This window comes from Homo sapiens, chromosome 13, assembly GCF_000001405.40.
Source record: "Homo sapiens chromosome 13, GRCh38.p14 Primary Assembly".
In the NCBI taxonomy this organism is placed as follows: Eukaryota; Metazoa; Chordata; class Mammalia; order Primates; family Hominidae; genus Homo; species Homo sapiens.
The window spans coordinates 103,283,949-103,307,878 of record NC_000013.11 but is presented as its reverse complement, the minus strand read 5'-3'; the positions used below and the strand labels follow the sequence as shown (position 1 = coordinate 103,307,878).

The window sequence follows — 23,930 nt, the reverse complement described above, 5'->3', positions numbered from 1 at the left end:
ACATTGAAGATATTTAGTGGGGCCATGAGGAGTATCAGTTTGCATGTACCTTGAAGTGTTTTCAGGCTGAAACTATTTTATCCATGCCATGTAGAGTAAAATCTTTGGACTTCTGCCACTAATTTATCTGTTCAATAGAGCAAGTTTCAAATAAACATTTAACCAGAATCCTGGGCTAGTTAGAAGACTATGGACTATGAGATAACCTTGAACAATCATAGATAACTTTCTAAGTAGACTTGTGTCCTTAGTGAGCTCCTCAGTTTTATGAAAATATAGCAACTATGTTCATTCCCCAGTTCCTGCCAGGGCAACATGAAAATGTACAGAGTTAATCTATGAACCTTAATAATTCAATCAGCAAATATTTTATCCAAGATAGATTTCTCAGAAGACATCTGGTCTACCCATTCTTCCAATTAGTTCTCAACAAAAATGGCAGTGACTGAATAATGCATCAGCAAAGACTTCAGAACCTCCCTAACACCGCAATGGCCCTCTGCAGAACTGCTTTTGAGTGAGTTGCTCTTGCTATGACCTCATCAGCCTAGATGGAAAGCCACTCGAAGAGCCCAGTGATGCACAATTGTTATGTCTTGTGGGAACTTGTTGTCCAGAATGGTGTTAATTGCATCACAATGTTTTATTCTTTTTTAAATGAAAAACCTCAGGAGATATTTCTATTATTTTGAAGATCTTGAGTAATTAACTAAATTTATTTTGATTTCCATCTTCTTTTGCCTCATTTTTAATTTGTGTTTGTGTTCCTTTGTCATGTATATACCATAATAAATATTTTTTGGAATTAGGATATATATATATACACACACACACACACACACACATATATACCTATATACATATATATATACACATACATATATGTGTGTACACATATATACACAAATATGCACACACACATACATGCACACATATATCCAAATATATACCCAGATATGCATATGAATATATAATATACTTTACATATATATAAAATATATGACTCCCTCCTCTAACAACCCCCTCTAACCAAGTTATTAACCTTCCTTTTTTTTGGACAATCTCTTAAGCTAAAGAAATAAATCTATAATAATGCAATTACCCCCAGTGGAAACAACAGGGGAGAGATTAGTGAGTAGGCTGAAAGATATCCAAGTGACACTCAAATTACAAGTTAGCAGTTACCTATAGCATCTAACCACTGGACGATTCCAATGTACACACAACTTTCAAAATCAATTTCAGCCCAGATTTCAAACAGAAAATCAGAGCTAAGCCTCCTGACTTTCATTCTCTTTTTGATTGATCTTTGGTCATCATTAAGCTATTTAGCAGCGTTCCTTTTCCATAATGCTTCCTCCTGTATTTCTCCTTACAGACAAGAAAAAAACACCGAGAAAGTCTCCTAAATATCAAAAAATAATTTATTCATATCATCGCTTGAGCCTGGGAGGCGGAGGTCACAGTGAGCCAAGATTATGCGACCGCATTCCAGCCTGTGCAGCAGAGCTAGACTCGGTCTCATAAATCAACCAATCAATCAATTTCCCCAAGATCACACAGCCAGACCAATCATTCTGGCCCTGAGCCCACCTGACAAAGACTAACATTTCAGCTCTGCTGTGCACTACCTGTGTCTCTCTAGGTGAGTTATATAATTTCTCTAGGGTTGAGTTTCCTGAGCTATAAAATGGAATAATATGAAACTACCTGATATTAAAAAAACACTTACATGGTTGCTAAATATTTATTGGTAAGTGCTAAACACTATTTATTTTTACTGTTATTCCCATTTTAGTTATAGTTTTGTTGCTGTTATAAGTAATTTCAGGTTTTTTACTTAGAAATGTAAGTTAAGGCTGAAATAGGGGTTTAGCATAAACATTACAATACCAATGCCTGGTATCATTCATGCAAAAGTGGATACTAGTGTCTATAAAATACCTGAGGACAACAGCCAGCTTTATACTTCTTTGTGGTGGGTAACTGAACACAGTAAATGCTTACTAGATGCTGAGTGAACTAAGGGGTTCACTCATACTCTCCACCCCTATCAATGCATACTGGAATGTTCATGGATTGTTATGGGACCTAGTGCCATAACACAGTAATAGTGACTATGCCTCAGCACTCAATGCCATATGAGACTAGAGAGCATTACTATGGTTATAAAAGGCAACACGGAGGAATGGGGAATTCAGCCTCCTCCCTCAGCTACCCAAGGCATTCACTATGGGGAAACTCTCAAAATCCTTAATACTTACAGGGAAGTTCAGACAAATATCACTGCAAAGTGGTTTTGCTCTTTCTTCCTGTAGGGCTTTCATCTGTAAGACACCTTTGCTGATAGGATTAAGCCCCATAGGAAGAGTCATTCCGAAGACAAAATTGCCAGCTTCATTCCCTGAGGATTTGAGATTTCACTACAGCGTGCTCACTCTGTTTCCTGTATTTCTAGCTATGTGTTGCAAACTGGTCTCTCACTTTTGTAAACCCTATTCTTGGTTGAGATTTTTTAAAGTAAAAACTTTAAGAGAACAAAATGTAAACAGTTTCAAAATTCATATGTAATATATCTCTAGATTAAAAAAAAATAAAGGAATAATAAAGGCAAATCCTAGACAAACAATTTGAATCACAAAATGATAATGTTTCCTTGAGAAATACAGTAAAAGGAAATCTGAGTCCAGTGACGTTGTCATAGACTAAATTATTTTAAAGAAATCCAGTTTTGGTCTCTAAATACGCAGTCCTCTAGAATAATTTCCAGGAGCACTGAAACAGTCAAAAGAAAGAAGGCAGTTAGTTAAATGTCATGAGACACAGTACAGAAAAGCAATGTTATTGCAACCATAATCATTTGCTAACATCTTGAACTTGTAACAGCTACCTTAAACATATGCTTCCTCACCATCATGGCATGTTCAATATCTTTGCACACTTGGAAGCATAAAACACTAATTTCCATAACCCTGTTATTACAGGAGCCGAGGAACAGAGAAGATTGGTGAGGTGGTAACTTAAAAGCCATTCAGAAAGATGATGGCTTTTAAGGTGGTATGATATCAGGCTAAGAAGTTATGCTAAGCATGGGACATCAACACTTTAAGGAATTGTGTGTGTCCATTAGAAAAAAAAAAAACTCTTGCTGAATTTTAGCCCTTTTTTCTTAAAAATGCACTACTCTTACTTATAATCGTTTGAAATGGATTTTTTTATATGCATATGCTACTTCTAGGAATGAGGTTTATTCCTTTAGGTCACTTTACTACCCGACATAGGAAACTTTTTATAAAAGAGAGTGTTGTACATGATTCCCAATGTTTTTTTTTTGGTTTGTAGAAAAATCCCCCTCAATTTTTCGGCACAATGCATTTCATTCATTTAGTTAGTCAGTCAGTCATTATTTCAAGAAATGTTTCTGTCTATGTGTTTGTGTGTGTGTGTGTGTGTGTGTGTGTGTGTGTGTGTGTGTGTGTTATGTGTTGGGTTAATAATGGTTAGCAAAATGGGACACAGCTCTCCACTCATTGATTTTTCATTGTAATGAGCAAAATGAGTATTTATAATTAAACGCATATTTGTAACAATATAAAAATATAATTTTATATAACATAAAAATTATAATATCATGTAACAACTGTGATAATTGCTACAAATAAAAAGGATGTGTCTTTGTTAATGTCTAAAAGGTAGAGACACTAGGGATTTTTATTTCAACATGGATAGAGACTATTATAATAGTCAATGACAGCCTCATTGCAGATTAGATCACAAGAATAATGGGAAATTGCCACCTCATTTAGAATCTGAAATCTAAAGCTGGATGAAACATTGCCTTGTAATAAACAAACAAGCAAAAAAAAAAAGTTCCCTTTGTCTTGTAAAATCTCTTAAAAAATGCAGACTTCTGCTCTCTACATAGTTATCCTCTTAACAATACTGAGAAATCAGAACCTGATTATTATAAAAGCTGGAACTGCAATTTATCAAAATAATGGGAAATCTAAAACATATCTTAAAAATACCTAATAAAATTTTTCCATTAAATCCAGACTCATTTTTAAGTGAAGACTAGAGGCACGTTCCAAATTTCATGTTTTGCTTGCTTGTCCCAACTTAGTCCTCTCTACTGAAAATCATAAAAGAGCAGAGAAATAAAGTAACAAAATATAAAACATCATTCTAATAACTTATTTCAGACAACATCTCTGTTTATCAGTGGGGTGATTGGGTGATTAGGTGATAAAAGAAATCCTTTTCGTTTTTCTTAATGGATATCACCAATGAAGATATACGTTCCTAAATGACCATTGTAAATGCCTGTTCTACAAATACAAGCCAGACACAATATGCAGAAAACAATCTCTTACTCCTGAAATCACTTTCATGATATGACACATTTCAGTACCTGGATTTATGGAGCTGTTCAAATTCCCATAGTAATCATGGGATAATGAACCCCTTTGGTCGGATAGCCACAGGCTCTAAAATGGATTATTTGTTTTAGAAGAAAAAAAATGAGTAGACACGAACACTATATTAATGGCTAGCTTAATGCACTTTTTGTTTTTCTTTTCCTTTATGAAAATGTTCTGATTGTATCTATGTAAAAACTCATAGTTTTTATACCAGAAGATAAAACTCACAATATAATGGCACACTTGCATCTCTGCCAAGGAATTTTCAGTTGTTGAAAAAAAACATATGAGCTTTGTATTAAAAGTCTTTACATTATTATGTATTTCCTAAAACTAAAATGCATTTATTTTACCCTGAAATGCACATGGTAAGCATAATTCATTTTCTTCCACCACTTATACATAGCAGAGATTCATAAGGAACAAGGTGGCAAATAAGGCCCCTTCCTAACTTCCTGGAAGCTCATGCTCTCAACCGCAAACTCATCACTGACTACTTATTTACTTATTTATACAATTTCAGTCTTATCTGGATCACTTATCCAAAAATATCAGCTCATTCTGGCACACTATGGAATTTTCTGTTATTTGGAAATAGCACAGACAAAAATTCTGCCATACAGAACACTGCTAAGCTGTAAAGCTGGATGGAACAGTTAAATTTGCTAACTGCTTTTACTGTATATATAGTAAGAGTAACAAACACTTACGTCATGTTTATGATGTGCCAGGCATGTAATAATTCATTTAAACCTTACTGCGCCAATAAGATGGTAGTTTCCCATCCCCATTTTACAGATGAAAGAACTGAAGCCTAGAGATGCTGATAAATCACCAGAGTCCCAGAGCTGGTGGTGACAAAGCTAGAAGGAACACCAGAAGCAGAGGGCCTCTGTGAGAATTCATTTCAGGCTGCCACAGAGCCACCGCAAACAAACAGCTTCTGCCAGCAAATTTTGTCTTGCTTTATTCATTTAATTTTCAGGTTTATTCCAATCAGAGTTATCCCAAAAATTTCAGAGGAGAAATAAAGTGTTTTCTTTCTCTCTTTCTCTGTCCAGGGCCAATTTTTATCATATACATAGTACTGTAGAATTCTACAGTACACTTTTGAAAAGTGGCTGAGGACCCCAAATGCCCCTAAGAAACTACAGTGGTTTGAATCTTGCTTTATTGCAAACTGTCTTAACTTTTAAAACTCCTTTACACCCTACAAACAGAATGTGAGCACCATTTCAAAACAGTGATTTAAACAGATGCAACTATATTAAGATTTTAACATAGCCATGGTCAGGATATATTTTATCCTGAAGCCTACACACAGTCAGCCCAGTCGTGACTATACTTTTCTATTTCTTCAATTCATAGCAACCTATTTATTGCCCCATCTCTGCTTGCTGTACCTAAGGTTGATCTGTTTGCTTCTTTTGTTTTGCAACAGCCAAGGGCTCTGCTGCATTGCAGGCAATTCGCTTCTGGGATATCCTCAGAGAATTTCTTTGCTGCCCTGTTTGCAGTCACCCTGTACATCCCATAATAGAGCTCTACCATCTACACTGTGCACATTTCCAGCTCGGCAAAAATGGAATTACATGAGATATAGCTTCAAAGTTGTATTCATTCAATGTTACAAATGGTTCTTGGCTGACATTGATGAAACTCCTCAAGTGTCTGATGGGACGTAGGTGACAAAGATAAATCTTAGGCATGTGCACGGGCAGGTGTTTGTTTGAGTCCAGAAAAAGTGAGTCAGTTTAAAACTTTAGCATTATAGGTCACCTCTAGATGAACATTTCTTACATTTATTTCAATTGTTATCAGCCTTTAATTCTTGTCCCTTTAAATAATTACAGCTATCTATATGGCATATTTTATTAACCAAATGCCAATTGCTGTAATGATATAGGAACATGTTTACTTATTAAACAAGATCTCATGTAGAACCTTTTAAAGCATCTGTTCTGTAAGGGCTACTTCTCTGTGATCTTACAGAATCTTGGTATAAATGTTTTGTAATTTTAAATGTGTTGTAATAACTAAACCACTTATCAGTCTCCCTCACTAGATCATAAGCTCGAAATGACAAAACAAATGAACAGATAAATAAGTAAATGAATGAATAAAGAAACACATGTATTCTCCACTTCATCCCGTTTATTCTGGAGCTTAAAAAAAAGCAAATTATTCTCAGCTATCGTTGTTAATACGATCATTAATTATTATTCATTTCCCCTACCCAGCCTCTACTCAATGGCAGGACTTGTTGTTACCACACAGTTTTTTTTTTTTAAATAAAACATGTCATGACCTCTTCCTTCATTACGCTACTGAAATCCAAGCCTTCTTCACTTGGACCCTAACTCCACTTTTTTTCCCCCTTTGAAGCTCGGCTTTTCTAAAAACACCAGCAATACTTTTTTTCCAAAATACAAATCTAATCATGTCACGCTCCTCCTTGGAGTTCATCAGTTGCTCGCAGATGGTACACAGGGACCTTCACCGGCTGACACACGCTTCAGTCTAGCCTTATCTGCTACTTCCGCACTCGTGATTTCAAAAGCAGAGTCCTCCCGCTCCCACGGGCCGTGGCTCTTGGTCCTGTGCCTTTCCCATCACGCTTTCTTCCTCTAGGTCTTAACGTGCTCCCCAGCTTTCAGATGCCCCTCAGGATTCCTCCTCCAGAGGTCCCTCCACCCATCTTGGAATCATCCTTCAGAGGAGGCTAAGGGTGCCCTCATCCTATCACACCTGGGACCTTAGCGCTCCTTCTGCCTGCTTCCATTTGCTGTATACATTTCTATTGCTAGTTCCATTTCTCTGATAAAACCGTTAGCCTCTTGAGAAAAACATAAAATATTCATTGTTTTTATTCCCTTCACTCGACCAGGTGCTTGACTCATGGGAAACACAGATGAATGGAGTTTGACCTCAGCGGAATTTTCAGGAAGGAGTAGTTCTATCCTTGTTCAACCAGATTAAAAATCATTTTCTCTAGGATAATGCTTCTCAGCATTCAATCTTGTAAAAAAGTGTTAACAATTTTGTTAATTTTTTTAATTATAATCAAAATAATCCCTCATTTTGAATTTGCCCAGTTGTACTCAACAACAAACTGAATGGAGGGCGTTTAAGCCACCTTCCATCATGAGGGGGTCATTGAATTTTCCTGGAAGTTGTACAGGTAATAATTTCTTTTTTTTTTTTTTTTTTTTTTTTTTTTTTTTGCTGTGGATATTTCCGTTTCCACACATTTAAAATTAAACATATTTATTACCTCATAGCTCAACTTATTAATAGTACAAAACGCAAAATCTCCAAAAACAGAAAATTGGTAGCCAGTCCAGAGTTCTCTTTCCATTTTTGATTGGCAAAATCTACACCCGTACCAAGGAGGAAAGTTCATGTGAGTGTTCCTACTAATGAGGACAGACCTGCTCCCTCTCAAATCTTGCCTTAGTCACAAAAGATTGGATTGAAATAAAAATTACACTGCACTTTGATCAGGGTTGCAGTGGTAAAACATCAGCCAGAACGTATCCAAAAGCAGGCTTTCCTCACAGATACGAGAGAAAATTGGATTAGAATCCAGCCGCCTTTTGCATGTTAGAGGCAGTAAGTGTATATTGTATAAAAATCATCAGCATAACAAATAGATCATAATCACACAGCGTATGAACATTTAAATCTATCTTAAGATAGTGGATTAAAATGAGTCATTGGGTATCAAAAAAGATGGCCCGTCTGAAACATAAACAAGAAAACAACATGAAGAGCCATTTATTCAATCTGACCTAGACATAAAAGGGGACACCATAATAACCACTGAATAATGACTGAGATCATGCTTTTGTGATAAGTCACTGAGATCTGAAATGAAAAACTGAATTATTACTAAATAAAAGGATTTGGTTTCATTGTTGAATTTATTCACATATTTCAGAAAATTTATTTTGCGGTTATATTTGAAGGTCAAAGAATAAAACTGAAGCATCTTGCCTATTGCAAAGATCCCCCTAGGAGCTGGGGAGGTAGGTATCTTCTAGGTTTTGAAGTTTAGCTCTCTTCTTCAGGCTTATAAGAGAGTAGCCATTCCCAGGAAGTAGAGAGAGCCAGAGTGCACACCTGGAACAGGAAAGGCAGAGTAGTATCCCAAGTACTGCCACGCCCCCTACAGCCAGCCTACTGCAGACTTCCCTAATCCACCCAGCGCTCGCCCTGGGGATTTGCCCTGTGGACTCTGCCATCTTTTCCCTGGACTACCTAGGGTGCCCCACCAGCCAGCTTTCTCTGCCTCCTGACACTATCATGACTGCTTCATTTCTCTCTCTCCATTCCAGTTCTATAGTTTTATGTTCACTAACTCTGAAAATGAACTATTATTATTTCCTATCTACTATCTAGAACAGAGCCCTGATGTTTTGCGCTTCATTTCTGTTGTGGGAACAGCTCAAAGATGAATCAGATCCCAGGAATTGTCTCATTTTGATTGACAACCCACGATGCACTGTTCTCTTATATATCACATAATGTAGCACGATATGCAATATACAGTACATATAATCCTACCTCATCAACCACCAGCTGGCTTTATTGTTTGCTTATTAATTCTTGTTTTCCTCATTTTATTTTAGGGTCATTGACATTTTTCTGATTATATCAACTGCAATGCACATTATTATAAATTCAACTACTAAGACACATTACATGGAAAGATTTTTTTAAACAAAGCACCGGAAACACATCATGGTCTGCATTATCACTATAATTATCTGTGCTTAAAATTGGAATGTCATGAATGAATATGCAGTTCTGTGTGACTCTGAACTGGCATTGCACATAAGAATGGTTCTAGATCTCAAGGCACCCTTTTCTAAGAATTTCCTTTTTCTCATTGTCTAAGAAATTTATTAGAGGCTTGAAAATGTCTTATTTCATCAGCTTGTATTTTTTCCATATTATCATAGTGCATATATAACTATAAATGCCTATTCACAGGCAGTTCTCTTCTCCTAAACAAAAGATTAATAAAGAAGAAAAAATTGAAAATATAATGTTCAGATGTATGCTTGCTTGTCAATGACATCAAATAGTTCTGGCTAAAGTCATTTTCCTTTCCACCTATTCACTTAATTAGAAAGAAAATCTTTTCCAAATAAGTAATTTTGAAAGTTACTTGAAATGTCTTCACCATTGTCCACATAATATAAGGAATGTCTTCATCATAGCTTGGCCTCTTCTACAGATGGTTAGTTGAAATCATTTATTTAAATCTAAAACCAGAAGAAAGCTCTGTATCCACTGACATTTTCAATGGAGTCCCTATGATAGAAATACTTTATAGTTACACTGCAATTATTAAATATCTACTTAAGTCTTGTTCATAGAGTGACAATCCAAGAACAAAGGGGGAAAATTAAGAAGCTTTAAGGAATGTAACATTTTAAAATTCACCTAAGCTTCTAAGTTCTATTCTGTTCTCAGCACTCAATGAGATGTCTACTTGATTATATTGCTGAAGGTACATGGAATCACAGTTTGGACTACCATTCAAAGTTTCCTTTTTTTTTTTTTTTTTTAACTATCTTGACTCAGAGGTATGTACTATCTCATTAACGTGACATTAGCAAATCTCTTTTTGAATACTCACCTTTTGAATAACACATACAAAAAAGTCAGCAGTTATCAGTTTGCTCTCCTTTTTTTGCATTCCCACAGCAGATTCTGTAACCTGGATTACAGCATTTAGCCTTCTATACTATGGTCATGTAAGTATGTGTGTCACTAAAATAGCTCCTTAATGTCAGGGAATCTTTCTGTTTACAGCATTAACCAAGAGCCTCACACACTGCAGGTGTCTGATAAATATTTATTGAATAAGTAAATGTAGATCAAAAATGAAAATATATTTTCCTTACAAGAATTCTGCAATTTCTCCCTGACCAGTTGATTTATATAAGCCCTCTCTGCAGTAGTTCTCTGAATGGCTTTGGGCCAACTCAGTTCTCTGCCTATTTCTCTCTCATAGTTCTCCAGAATAACTGTAGCACGTGCTGGGAACACAGCACCCTGAGATAGCAGGAGCTGGCTGGAACAGCCTGGGTTCTGCCCTGATAACCCCTAGCACAGGATGTTCTTTAACACTTTAGCTCAGTGAGTCCTGTGACCCCCAGGTATGTAACCCAGAGCAGGCTGCCCTTCAGAGTCCCTTGTCTGTGGTACAAGTGGGGCACACAAAGTTGAGGCTTCAAGACTCCTGGACAGATTTATGGGCTTTTGGGGACCTGTTGCCAGTGGAATGGAGGCTTCTACTGTCCTTTGCTACCTACCTGTAAGTAATAAAACCCGCTTCCTGTAATGTGTTGTGTGTAAGCACTTTTGCTCTCAATGGACTCAAACAAGTTGGTAAGTAGTACACAGTGAACCTGCTTCACATCCTGCATTCAAGACCTGTAAATATCATTGAAACATCAACATTATGTTTCAGATTTATGAGCATGCAATATTCTAACTGTAAAGAATTTAATCCATACATCTAGTGAAACAAATAAGAACCTAATTAAAGAAGTGCTTACTTTGGGCAAAAAACAAGACTTCTGTCAAAATGCCTTTTAAATTTTTGGTTTAGTCCACACTTAAACAAAGCTTTTAATCTCTATTAAGAAGGGACATCATTATGCATTGATTGATTAACACAATTATGGACATGTTCTGTTTTATCAAATATATTTTATTAAACAATCAACTTCAATTTTTTCTTCCATAGCTAAGTTATATATAATGCCATTCTGAAACATTTTTAAAAGCCATCTTTTCTAACTCCAAAATAGTCATTACTATTCACTCCTGGTCGTCTTCCTTGAAATAGTACTCTGTGGATCAGTACTGAACAGCCAGGTAACAGCTACAAGCTCCAAACCACCTGTAAACATCAGTTCATCTTATACCTATAACGAGTCGCTTAATATCCCAAAGGCCCACACAGATAAGTGAAGCCTCAATCATATAAGTGTTGTAAGAGGAGGGAATTTAGATTTTTCATTATTTCACTATTTTATGTTTTATTTATAATAAGTTAATATTCCTTAGTTTTTTTTTTTTTTGCTTAAGTTTTGAGACTATATTATTGTCTTTTCTCAATTCTTTCCAAAGTTTAGGTTTCTTATTTTTTAAAAAATATTACTGGCCAGATGCAGTGGCTCACACCTGTAATCCCAGCACTTTGGGAGGCCAAGACAGGCGGATCACTTGAGGTCAGCAGTTCGAGACCAGCCTGGGTAATATGGCAAAACCCCATCTCTACAAAAAACACAAAAATTAGCCAGGTGTAGTGGCACGCACCTGTAGTCCCAGTTACTGGGGAGGCTGAGGCATGAGAATCACTTGAACCCAGGAAGGGGAGGTTTTGGTGAACTAAGATCACGTCACTGCACTCCAGCCTGAGCGACAGAGACTCTGTCTCAAAGAAAAAATAAAAATAAAATATATTATCAGCAAATAATCATCTTCCATAAGAAAGAGTTTTGCACTGAAGGGGGAATAAATTCTGTATCAAAATTAAGTCTGCTAGTCTCAGAGAAAGTTCTCAACATATGCGAAGTGAAAGTAGTAAATGCCTACTATTTCATCTGCTCTAAACAGCACTCACTTCTTCTCAGCCATATAATTTTCCCCATCTTTAACCATGAGTTTGGATTGGGAGTTGTCTTCTTTCTTAAATTTTCTCATCCCCAGCCACAGGGCCTAATCTAGGGACAGGCTATTGGCCAGTCTGGTCTTATAAAAGAACCCATTCCCAGGTAAGAATTGGTTGGTTCAGGAATATGCACTCAATTCAGTCCCAGCCAATCAACCCTTCTCTGTGACTTTTGAATTTAGAAACAAAAATTAGGAGTTCCATTCTATCTGGTGATAACATTGGGAAATGTCAGGCATTTCTGTTTCTGTTCACCACAGAAGAGGCTAAATCTGAGAAAAGCCATCATGCAGAAAGAAGCCAAATGAGAGCCAGAGATTGAATCCTCAGGGTGCTCATGACCCTATTGTCACTGGAGACTGAGACTCTGCTACGTGTTTTTAATTCTGCTAGCCAACACTTCCCCCAAAAATATTTGCCTAAGTTAATTCAAGTTTGATTTCCAGCCAATCCACTGACTAATTCGCTCACTAATGACAGTAATAATGCATACGGGTATCTAACCACACTTTTTCCTCTGGTTTATTAGATATCTTCTAACCTCATTTTATTAATCATGTATAACTTCTCATTTTTTCTGATATATATGTTTAACTTACTTTCAAAAAACCTTACATTTTCATCCATCACTAAAACACAACAACTAAAAAACTACTCCCTGTTTAAGATTTTCTAAATCCAACTAAAAAACAACAAGAAAAGGCTAACTTTCTTCATTATAGCGCTCTAGGCCCAATTTCTCCAGATTCTTTTCTTTGTAAGAGTCCCACAGTAATACACACTTGAGTAATTTATGTTATAGCAAATATGTATAAATATTTTCTAGTCCTTTATTTTCTACTGGAAGAGTGAATTTACAAGCAATGATCTTACAATCTTCTAGAAACTGTAACTCTTGACAGCAATGGCTCTGACAGTAGTCCAATATTTGTGCAATGTTAATTTATTAACATTCCTATAAAATGTCATCCTCTCACAAGCAAACATTTTTTCATGAGCCAAAAGATACAGAAAAGAGACACTGTATTTTGTTACTAGGAAACTGAAAGATTATTGATCATAGGCAAAATCAAAGCTTTTCTCTACCTAGGTATATTTCCCCACATAGCCTTCATTTAAAGTCCTGTAGTCATGTGTTTCAAGCTTCCAGTGATTCAAAATAAATTCTTTCAGCATCTGTGGAACTTGGAGAATCTTGCTTGATATTTAGCTGCCATGTTGCCTATTAATCTAGTACTAGAGTAAATAGTGAGAAGACTCTAGTCAATTTGGCCTCCTTCCTGAGCAAGCTTCTCTTCTAGTCAACATGTCTGGATCTTTGATTTCTATTCATGCTCAAGAATTTAAAGAAGGTAAGGCAAGATCCTGTTGCCAGAGGAATCTAAAGCTATTTGTACTTAAGTTACCCATCCTTAGTGCATTCCCAAATAGGAAAAACATGCAATTCAAAGTGTCTTACAGCTGCAAAAAACCATGCAATTAAAGTATGAAAATAAAAGTCTAAACTGCAGGCTGTTAAAGTCTTCAACATAATGGCACCTGAGCCTATAAGCAGTGATTGTTCAAATATATGTGGTACATTCTTGGTAATTACACACCTTAGAACACGTTTTCATTTTCTTTCCATTGGTGTTTTTAAAGACTATGCCAGTAAACCACTGCTGCCTAAAAAGTTTTCAGCTCAAAAACCCATGTATCCCATTACAGCTTCAAATTTCCCATCTCAGTGTGCCTGTGTACATCAGACCAAAGTATACCCGACAGTTCAGCTGAATTCCAAATAGAATTGAAAATAGATTTTACTCGCCAACTGTCATGGGTGTGTGTCTCTCTGTGTGTGTGTGTGTGTGTGTGTGTGTGTGTGTGTAGGTATCTCAGCTTGGAAAAAAAGTCTATTAAATATTTATGAAAATCATTTTTTTGGTCTCCAAACAGCACAGTTAAAATTAAATAGCCATCACAAGAAAGCGTCATCACAGGTAACTTCATACTACTGTTTGGGCTTCCAGACTCTTTTCAAGTGTGCACTGAACAGATGGAGAATGTTAGAGGCCTTTCAGACTAGCATTGAAGGCAAACTGTCCAGCAATCTATCATGATTTGGGGATTCTCAATGACCTTTTAAGGCTTTGCAGAGGAATCTGCTAAATTATGTTTACCAACCTGTGGATTCTTTCAAAAAAATACACGTTTTTAATCCAAAACATGCTTCAGCAGTTAAAAGGATAATAACATCAGTTGCATAAAGATTATGCTGTTTTGTTATTGTTGTTCTTTTATTCTAATTTGTTTTACCTTGTTTTTACAATGACCTCCCTTCATGTGAGAGGGACCAAATGATAGAACTGCCCCGTGACACTTCTGGAGAACAATTGTATATTTCCTTCCAATTAATGCTTTGACTTGTTAAATTCCACCATAAAATCGTGTGCAAAATTTCAAATCCTCTCCCCTGCTGCTTAGTGGATGAGAATGTTCCCTGCACCAGCTGAAATGTTCATTACTTCTAAATTATGCAGGCTGGGGCCAGGGTGGGCTGCCAGGCTGGGGAGGGATTGTTGTCTCCTAATTATCAGTGGCTGCAATTTGCCCCTGTTACATTTTCAGAGTTACACTTGAGGTCCCCATCTTTGTTTCAGGAAGAAAATGTATTCAGTTCTCTTTTTCATAGGAAAAATCAAGAAAACAATTACATAGTCTGTATTTAAACTTTGAAATGGCTCAGTTCTCTTCTCATGTAGAATAAAAAGTGATAGAGTATTGAAGTTTGACTTGGAGAACAGTGTCTAAATCAAATAACCTGTTGTTTTACTTTTGTGCAATACCACTTTAAATATAAGATTCCCAAGGGCTGTTTTTACCCATGTGGCTCCAAGAATGTTTTGTGACTCTTTGTCTATAAACTGCAGTCTATCTGACATGCAAAAGTCCTTATTCCTAGTTGCAAAACAGGGAGACACCACGACATAGGCTTAATTTTGCTGTCATGAAAAGGGACCATAGCTGGATGGCTTGATCATAAGAGGACCAAGGATAGATATAGTTCTCCTGGATAAACATATGCAATCTACACACATTTTCATAAAATGTTTCCAAAGATCATAGCAGTCATTAATGGGAGCATATTTTTTCTTAGAAAGTCACCTTTGAACATCCTTTCCTTGAAAATATTCTATTATATATTAAAGAAAAAATTGTTTTATTGCCTTTGTTGAAGGCTTAGGAGGCGAAGATTTATGTTGAGCTGATAATTTTTATATTTTCATCTGTATTCTTAGAAAAAGGAAAAGCTAAGTGCAAGTCCAAAAATAAAGCATTTAATTCTACTCACTTCCAGTGTCCTGGGTTATAAATGCATCTGAGGGCTCAGGTTTCAGGCCAAGCCCAGAGAAAAAGGGTGTTGTTGCAGGGTGTGGGGGTAGGGTAATATTCACTTATTCCTGTACATAGTTGATTAGAAAAACATAAATCAACTTCGATTATTTATTTCAAGTTAATCTAATACCCAGGGTGATTTTAATTAGGATAGGTACATTTTGAAACTACAAAATAAAGCAACTCCACTTAACATATCAAACAGGTGGTGAAGATTACATTTTCTCATCTCTTCCTTCTATGCTCATGGGAGCTGTGGGTGTTTGAGTGACAGACTATCACCCAGCAGACTCCTCCTTCCTCACCCAACGTAAATCCTTTTTGTTAACCCTGTAGTGGAAAACAGAGGGAAACAGCTTGTGTGGTCTGGACAGTCTTTCAACTCCTAGCACTCCCACAAGGCCAAGTGATTGACTCTTTGGTCTTTGAAATTCTCCATGTATATTAGAGTAAGCAATGCAGCTCAGTCCCCAGAATCTCACTGTGGTTACATGTGGAAGTTACAGAAATGAAAGTGGCATTCTACTTAAGAAACCATAAAAATAAGCAGGGAGACTTGAAAGCTAGCACTGCCTTTCCCCATAACTAGTAGTTACCAAAAAATTTGAAATTTATGACAAATGAACAATCATCTCTTTAAAAGACCCAGCTGCACTTGAGAAGTAAAGATAATCTGATCTCAAAATGAGGAAAGATCTTAGAAAACTGGAAGCAGTTTGGTGAGCATATTTGGATCCAGGCCAGCAGAGGTGAACTGAAAGGGACAAGCAGAAAAAAGAAGAGTTCCTGCTTCCTCCCTCAACCAGATAATTAATGGAACAGAGGAAAACAGTGTAGACAAGAAAGTGCAGAGAACATTCCTGAAGCCAGGAGCAGGAGCTGCTCCTTGAGCGTCTCTTGACAGAAAATATCAAGTCAGTGATCTCAGTCAGAAAATGGCACCAGGGAACACCTGGAATGCTGAGTTCATGGGCATGCCTGTCATTCTTGTGCCATTCCAGTGCATGGCCACACAAGGGCTGCCAAACCTTCATGCTCTAACCATTAGGTACTTCTCTACCCTCATCTCTTTCCCCTCAATGACTTCACTTTGCCTTGCGATTTTTAGAAAGGCCAAGCTCATGTCCATTTCATACCATAAGGTCCCACCGTTTCTTCCACTGGAGTGCTCATTCTTAAGCTATGCATGTGAGTTAGCGCCCCAATTAATGTTTGTGTTCGTACATGAACTCTTCAGACAGATTTCCCCCAATTATTCCGTTTAAAAGTATCTGGGGCTCCACCACTCTGACCTCCCTACCTGTCACGGGTTGCATATTGGACCTTCAAAAGATGCATCCATATCCAGGCATCCTTAATTAAGTGTATTTGCAAAGATCCTTGTTCCAAATAAGGTAGACTCTTTCTTCCTCACCCGGGGTTCTTTTTGTTAACGCTGCAGTGTAAAACAGAGGGAAATGGCTTGTGTGGCCTTATTTGGAAATAGGGTACTCACAAAAATAATTATGTTGAAATGAGATCATCCCGGATCAACTAAGTGGGCCCTAAATTCAACGACAAATGTCCTCATAAGAGACAGGAGAAGAAATCTGTGCAAAGACCAGGCAAAGATTAGAGTTATGTAGTCACAAGCCAAGGACTGCCTGGAGCCACTAGATAGGGGAGGCTGCAAAAAAGGAGTCTCTCTTCCAGACTTCGGCTGGACCGTGGCTCTCTTGACATCTTTATTTTTATATTTTTTCTAATTTTTAATTGACATAATTGTACATATTTATAGAGTACGTTTTAATACATATGTATGTTGCATAATGATCTAATCAGGGTCATGTTTCCATAACCTCATGCATTTATCATTTCTTTGAGGTGAGATTGTTTAAAAGCTTCCCTTCTAGCTAATTTGTAATAGATAATATTTGACTGTTAACCATAGTTACCCACTGTGGTTATGGTTATGATAGAACACCAAAATTACTCTTCCTAGGTAATTGTAACTTTATACCCATTAACCATCCTCTTCCCATTATCTCCTCCTCCCTCCCAGTCACAGTCTCTAGTAACCACTGTGCTACTCTCCACTTCTATGATATCAACCTTTTAAAAATTATTCCACAAATAAGATCATGTGCTATTTATCATTTTGTGTCTGACTTATTTCACTTAACACGTCCTCCAGGTTCCCAGGTACATTCATGTTGTACAAACAATGGGATTTTGTTCTTTCTTATGGCTGAATAGTATTGCATTGTGTGTCTATACCACATTGTCTGTATCCATTCATCTATTGTTGGACACTTAGATTGATTCCATATCTTGGCTATTGTGAACAGTGCTGCAATAAACACTGGAATGACAATATCTCTTTGAGATTCTGATTTTTCTTTTGGACATATACCCAGTAGTGGGATTGCTGGATCATATGGTAGTTCTATTTTGATTTTTTGACAAACCTCCATCTGCTTTCCAGAATGGCTGTAGTCATTACCAGGAGTGTGTAAGTCTTCTCTTTTCTCCACATCCTTGCCAACACTTGTTTTCTTTTTGATAACAGCCACTCTGAGTGAGGTGGTATTTCATTGTGGTTTTGATTTGCATTTCCCTGATGAGTGATATTAAACATTTTTTCATATAGCTTTTGGCCATTTGTATTTCTTAAGAAATGTCTATTAAGCTCTTTTGCCTACTTTTTAATTGGTTTATTTGTATTTTTGCTGTTAAGTTCATTGTATATTTTGGATATTATCCCCTTGTCAGATATACAGTTTGTAAATATTTTCTCTCATTCTGTAGGTTGTCTCTTGACTCTGTTAATAGTTTTCTCTGCTGTTCTAAAGCTTTTTAGTTTGATATAATCTTATTTGCCTGTTTTTGCTTTCATTGCCTGTGCTTTTGAGGTGTTATTTTGAAAAAATTCTTACCCAGTCCAATGTCATGAAGTGTTTCCCTTATATTTCCTTCTAGTAGTTTCATCTTTTACATTTAAGTCTTAAATCTATTTTGAGTTAATTTTTGTAAACAGTGAGTTAGGGATCTAGTCTTATTCTTCTGCATTGTGGATATTCAATTTTCCAGCACCATTTATTGAGGAGACTGTCTTTTCCCCAACGTGTGTTCTTAAAATCTTTGTGGAAAATCAGTGGGTTGTGGGTGCATTAATCTTTGTTGACATCTTGATTTGGGACTCTGGGCCCCCAGAACTGTGAGAAAATAAATTTCTGTTTTAAGCCACCAAGTTTGCGTCAATTTGTTATAGCAGCCCTAGAAAACTAATGTACTTCCTCTTCCCTTCCTTTTCTTTCTAGCAATTACCACTATATATCATATATTGTTTATTTGCTCCTTTGTCTCCTCCTCTAGAATGTGAGAGCAGAGAGTTTATCTGTTTTGTTCACTGATGTTCCCCAGTGCCTAGAAGAATGTCTAGCACACAGTAGTCACTTAATAAGAATATGTTGAACTATGAATGAATGTTAGCTGCTCAGGTAACCTTCCGGATGTTTTGTTTAGGAGTGATCTTGTGGGTGGACTCTAGATTTTTTCACTTCACTGCATGCTCAGGGTGGTCTGAGAATATGCTGCTGCTAACACATTTATTTAGGCCTCCCCATCGCCATGCTATTACAGGAAATAATATGGGTCCTTCAGGAATAATCTCACTTTGAGATATTGCCATTCAAGAAATACCACTGTAATACAATATTCAAAACTTTTGAATTTGGCATGAAAAATTATACAGGCAAAAAGTGACTGGCCTCTAGGAAGAAGACACTCACTGTATTTGTAAAAGAAATGCACTGCTTAAAATGTTCTAATTTAATGTTAAAATGTTGATTTGGGTATGGGCTTGTTTGATTCCTGGGCAGAACCAGCACACAGAAACTGAAGGACGCTCTCAGGATGGCTAATGCTGCAAGAGAGGCACTGTCAAGGTTAACAAGTTTCCGTTCACTAGAACTGTAAAGACAGGAAGAGCGATGGGAAGGCTGACTGTCAGATGATAACCAGAGAGACAGTGCAGCGTGTACAGAGGCACTCACTCATGTCACCACGGGCTGCTGAGAGAACACAAAGACCTGTCTTAGATATGGGAGTTGAAGGAGATGAGCAGGCGAGCAGGCTGGATTTTCCTTGGGCTATAGGCCCAACTCAGGCCCCACCCAGCATTACAGCATGGAAGAAACAATAAAGGAGAAAGCAGCTCGAACCATTTTAACTATACAGGAAACTGGACAAAGAACAGGAAGAAATAAATAAAAGCATAATAGCCCAAGGTGGAATGCATATTAAGTGTACGAGAAATAGATCCCTTTACTTTCAGAAGACAAGAATGACCCACTAGGGCACATGGGATGGGATGTAGATAAGAAGGAAGTCAATGCTTATGTTCATAAATGACATGCATTTGACAGCCATGTTCTTGAGTAATTCTCATACTGACCTGTTTATTTCTATTTTAGAAGTCAGGATATTGAGGTTCAGATAAGTTAAGTGGTTTTCTCAAAACCACAAGGAAAGACCTCTGTGACTCAAAGCCATGAATTTCCATTGCATCAAACTGCCTACCTGTACAAAATTAAAAATGTGAATTGTTTATTCTTTGTAGTATGACTTGGCTCAATATCCTAAAATAATTCTGATCTTGTGACTAAGATACAAAAAAATTGCAAGTATCTCTCCTTCATGCATATAATGACAAATACATAGAAATGAATGATTATTCACAGATTTAGATGCCTTGGAAAGAACCAGAAAGGGAGCTATGATGTATTAGAGAAAATATCTGACCTACATCCAGGATTTCTGGATTCAAACCTTAGACCTAACTGTGATCAATGATGTGACTTTGAATAAGACACTTACGTACACAAAGATGCTGTTTCTTCATCAGATTAAACATATTTAATAAGCCGGGCATGGTGGCTCACTCCTGTAATCCCAGCACTTTGGGAGGCCAAGGCGGGTGGATCACGATGTCAGGAAATGGGGACCATCCTGGCTAACACAGTGAAATCCCATCTCTACTAAAAATAAAAAAAAATTAGCCAGGCGTGGTGGCATGCCCCTGTAGTCCCAGCTACTTGGGAGGCTGAGGCAGGAGAATCGCTTGAACCCGGAAGGCAGAGGTTGCAGTGAGCCAAGATCACACCACTGCACTCTAGCCTGGGCAACAGAGCGAGACTGCATGTCAAAAAAAAAAAAAATGTAATAACATACATTAGTAAAGCAACTAGCACCTATGGGTGTTCAGAATTGCCTATAGGTATTATTACTGGTATTACCATTGTCTAAGAAAAGAGATGGTCCTCCTGCAACTGTGTAGTAAATGTGTGCACTTCAGGCTCATTAGTCTGGATAATAGTGACTCTTGGAGAAAAAAGGAAGCACTCAGGAACGGGACAGCCAGTTGGGTTGCCAGGCAGATGGCTAAGCAGACTAGAAGCCAAGAACTGGTGAAGAGTTGAAGGTGCAAATTTGTTACTGGTTCCTTAGGTCAACATAGCTAGGACGTGTTGTTTGAGACAACCGGAAGAACACATGGGATTTGATCTGATACCTGTTATATTCACATACATCCTTCATCTCTTATCAAAAAATGTGTGATGAACTGAGAAGTCCTTTTTAGATTAAAAAAAATTTAAAACATGGGCCTACATGCCCACTGAAAAGGCAGTATCTCTGAGTTTTTTAGGACTTGAAATATTTATAGTAAAACTCTTTAAATTTAATGATGTGAACAGAAATTAAACCATTAATCTGGCCTATAGCACATGAATTAAAAGGAAGCTTTATTGCTTATCTTTATGTAAACTTCTTGCTCATTTATAATTTCATTTATTGACACATCTTTTGTAATACTCAAGTATCAAGGTCATTTTAATTGACTAAATGCTTTTTTTTTTTTTTTTTTTTTTTTTTGAGACGGAGTCTCGCTCTGTTGCCCAGGCTGGAGTTCAGTGGCGCGATCTCGGCTCACTGCAAGCTCTGCCTCCCAGGCTCACACCATTCTCCTGCCTCAGTCTCCCGAGTAGCTGAGACTACAGGCACCCGCCTCTACGCCCGGCTAATTTTTTGTATTTTCAGTAGAGACGGGGTTTCCCCGTGTTAGCCAGGATGGTCTCGATCTCCTGACCTCATGATCCACCCGCCTCGGCCTCCCAAAATGCTGGGATTACAAGCATGAGCCACCGCGCCTGGCCTTAATTGACTAAATTCTCTAAGACCTCTGCAGATTTTTTTAGTTCAGCCCCACTATTTTCTCAGATAGTTAAAATTTATTCAACGATTTCAAATGTTCTGTAAAAGTTGAATGTGCCCAGATTTTCTTATTTTAATCAAAGTAATATGCATACATCGTTAAAGAAAAACCAATAGAAGACCTGTAATGAACAGCAACACTTTCCCTTTCTTTAACTTTTATATTAAGTTCAGGAGTACATGTGCAGGTTTGTTATACAGGCAAATCTGAGCAATGCTTTCTTAACCCACTTCATTTTACCCTTTCTTGCTCTGCTTCACTTCTGAGACTCAAAATTGCTCTTAATGGGTTTCGTATTTTTTTGTCAGTATTTTCATAAATGTAAATAGTAGACCACTATTTCTACTTAGGTATTACCTATCGACACCAGAGCATAGAAGCTGTAAATTTAGCTCACTGATCACTGTTCACAATCATTTTTTTCTCTCTCTCCAACTATTTAAAGCTATAATACAATATTATATCTCTGGTAACTCCATTTATAAAATCAAATGATATGCTTACACTCTATTTGCTGTTCCAGCAATGGTGAGCACTATTGCTTGAGAGTTTAGCCTATAAGTAGGATATTATTGGCAGTTTTTACCTCCATCTTCCCAACTCCCCACTCCCATCTTCAGTTAACCATAAACTTTCACATTATGAAGATTAACATTTATGTCTTGAAATCATAATTTGTGAGCTCTGAGTGTAGATTAAGCACTAAAGTTAAAAATCGGTAATACGTATTTACACTTTCTAGTAAATATTGGTCCCTGTGGAGCCATGCTAGACAGACATTAACATATACCCTTCCCAAGTCAAAGGTCACGACACATCAATAATTCAAAAGTGAGTGTTCCCAGCTTAGAAGTCAGGGATTCATCAGGTATTCAATGCGTCCCAGATTTTACTTTTCACCCTATTTGGACAATGGCATTCTCAAGATATTTTATGCTTCATTCATTCTTCCAGTACTGCTTTGTAATATTAATTTAAAGATTTGGGTTATACTTGACCTCCAAGAAATATTTTTTGTTATTTAATTTTCTCCTCGCCATTTTTTCTGTTCTTTCTTTCTGGAACTCCTATGTATCAGACATTGGTCTTTTTATGTTGTTCCTCTACGCTTTTGATCTTTCTCTGATATTATGTGTTGCTTTGTATTTTCTGGAGTTTTTACTCAACTATAATCACTCATCTTTCATTTATTAACATTTATTTTTATTTCAGCAAGCATATTTTTAATTTTTAAGATATGTTCTTTGTCCTTGATTGTTCATATTTCATAGCAGCCTGCATTTATCCTTTATATTTGACATTTCTTTGGTTTCTCTGAGGATAATTAAAGTCTTTATAAAATAATGAGAGCAATAATATTTTTCAAAATGTTGACTCATCTCCAAATTTTCTTGGCTTCCTCCTGAATTTTTTGTGCTTTTTATCTTCCTTTCACATGCTGACAGTCCTCAGCACGTTGGGAACCGTCCATCTCCATTTTCTCTATTACAAATCTTGTGTGTTTTCTTGCTGGGCTTCTCCTTGAATGAAAGCCAGTCTGGGGGTTCTGTTTGTGTGGGTGCACTTGCAGGCTGAGTGGACAGGCAGGGAGCACAGGCCTGTCTGGGGCCTTATAGAGCTGGTTCAGTGAAGCTTCTATTCTGGACTCTCCACCTTCCACCAGCAATCCTCATTCTCAGGAAACTTGTCCAACTAAGGGAGAGGGTTTGCATAAACACGTTCTGGGTTTTGTCCAAAGATCAATTCTGAATTGCCTATCTCTGTTCTGTGGTGAGGTTTCTATCTAGGGAAACGTTCATTTGATGCCATTTGAATTAACTCCTTATTTTCCACCCATCTCACTCCCATCTTTGATAACTGTTGGATGCCACATTTTTTTTTTATCAAGAGATTTACAAGAAAATGATCTTTAACTTCCACTACTATCCCACTCTGGCCCATAGCTTCTTTAACCCTCTTTTTCCATCAGTATGTTCTCATATGTTTTCAGAATTCAGAAAAATTTGAAATTCAGCATCTAGTAACTGCTGCCCTGCCTCCCGTGATCTCTGCTACTGTAAATCTATCCTCATCACTAATTCTATATTATGTTTGCAGTGTTTTGGAGGAGAAGGGGGGAAAAAGCATGGGGAAAGACAAGGGAAGACAAAACCAACATTTAGTCCACCACCTTCAATTGGCAACCAGT

General features: G+C 37.1%; 1 long non-coding RNA gene across 2 annotated transcripts; it reads right to left on the bottom strand.

Moving 5' to 3' along the window:
* Positions 1–1,454: 1,454 nt before the first annotated feature.
* Positions 1,455–16,910, bottom strand: LOC105370338 (uncharacterized). 2 transcript variants are annotated; one of them, XR_931687.1, is made up of 3 exons: positions 16,790–16,910; positions 10,748–10,868; positions 1,455–2,775 (listed from the first exon to the last, which is right to left on the bottom strand). It is a non-coding gene; the product is annotated as an uncharacterized LOC105370338 (long non-coding RNA). The 2 variants fall into 2 exon arrangements; XR_931686.1 differs by lacking the exon at positions 16,790–16,910 and adding an exon at positions 11,760–11,801.
* Positions 16,911–23,930: the final 7,020 nt, after the last annotated feature.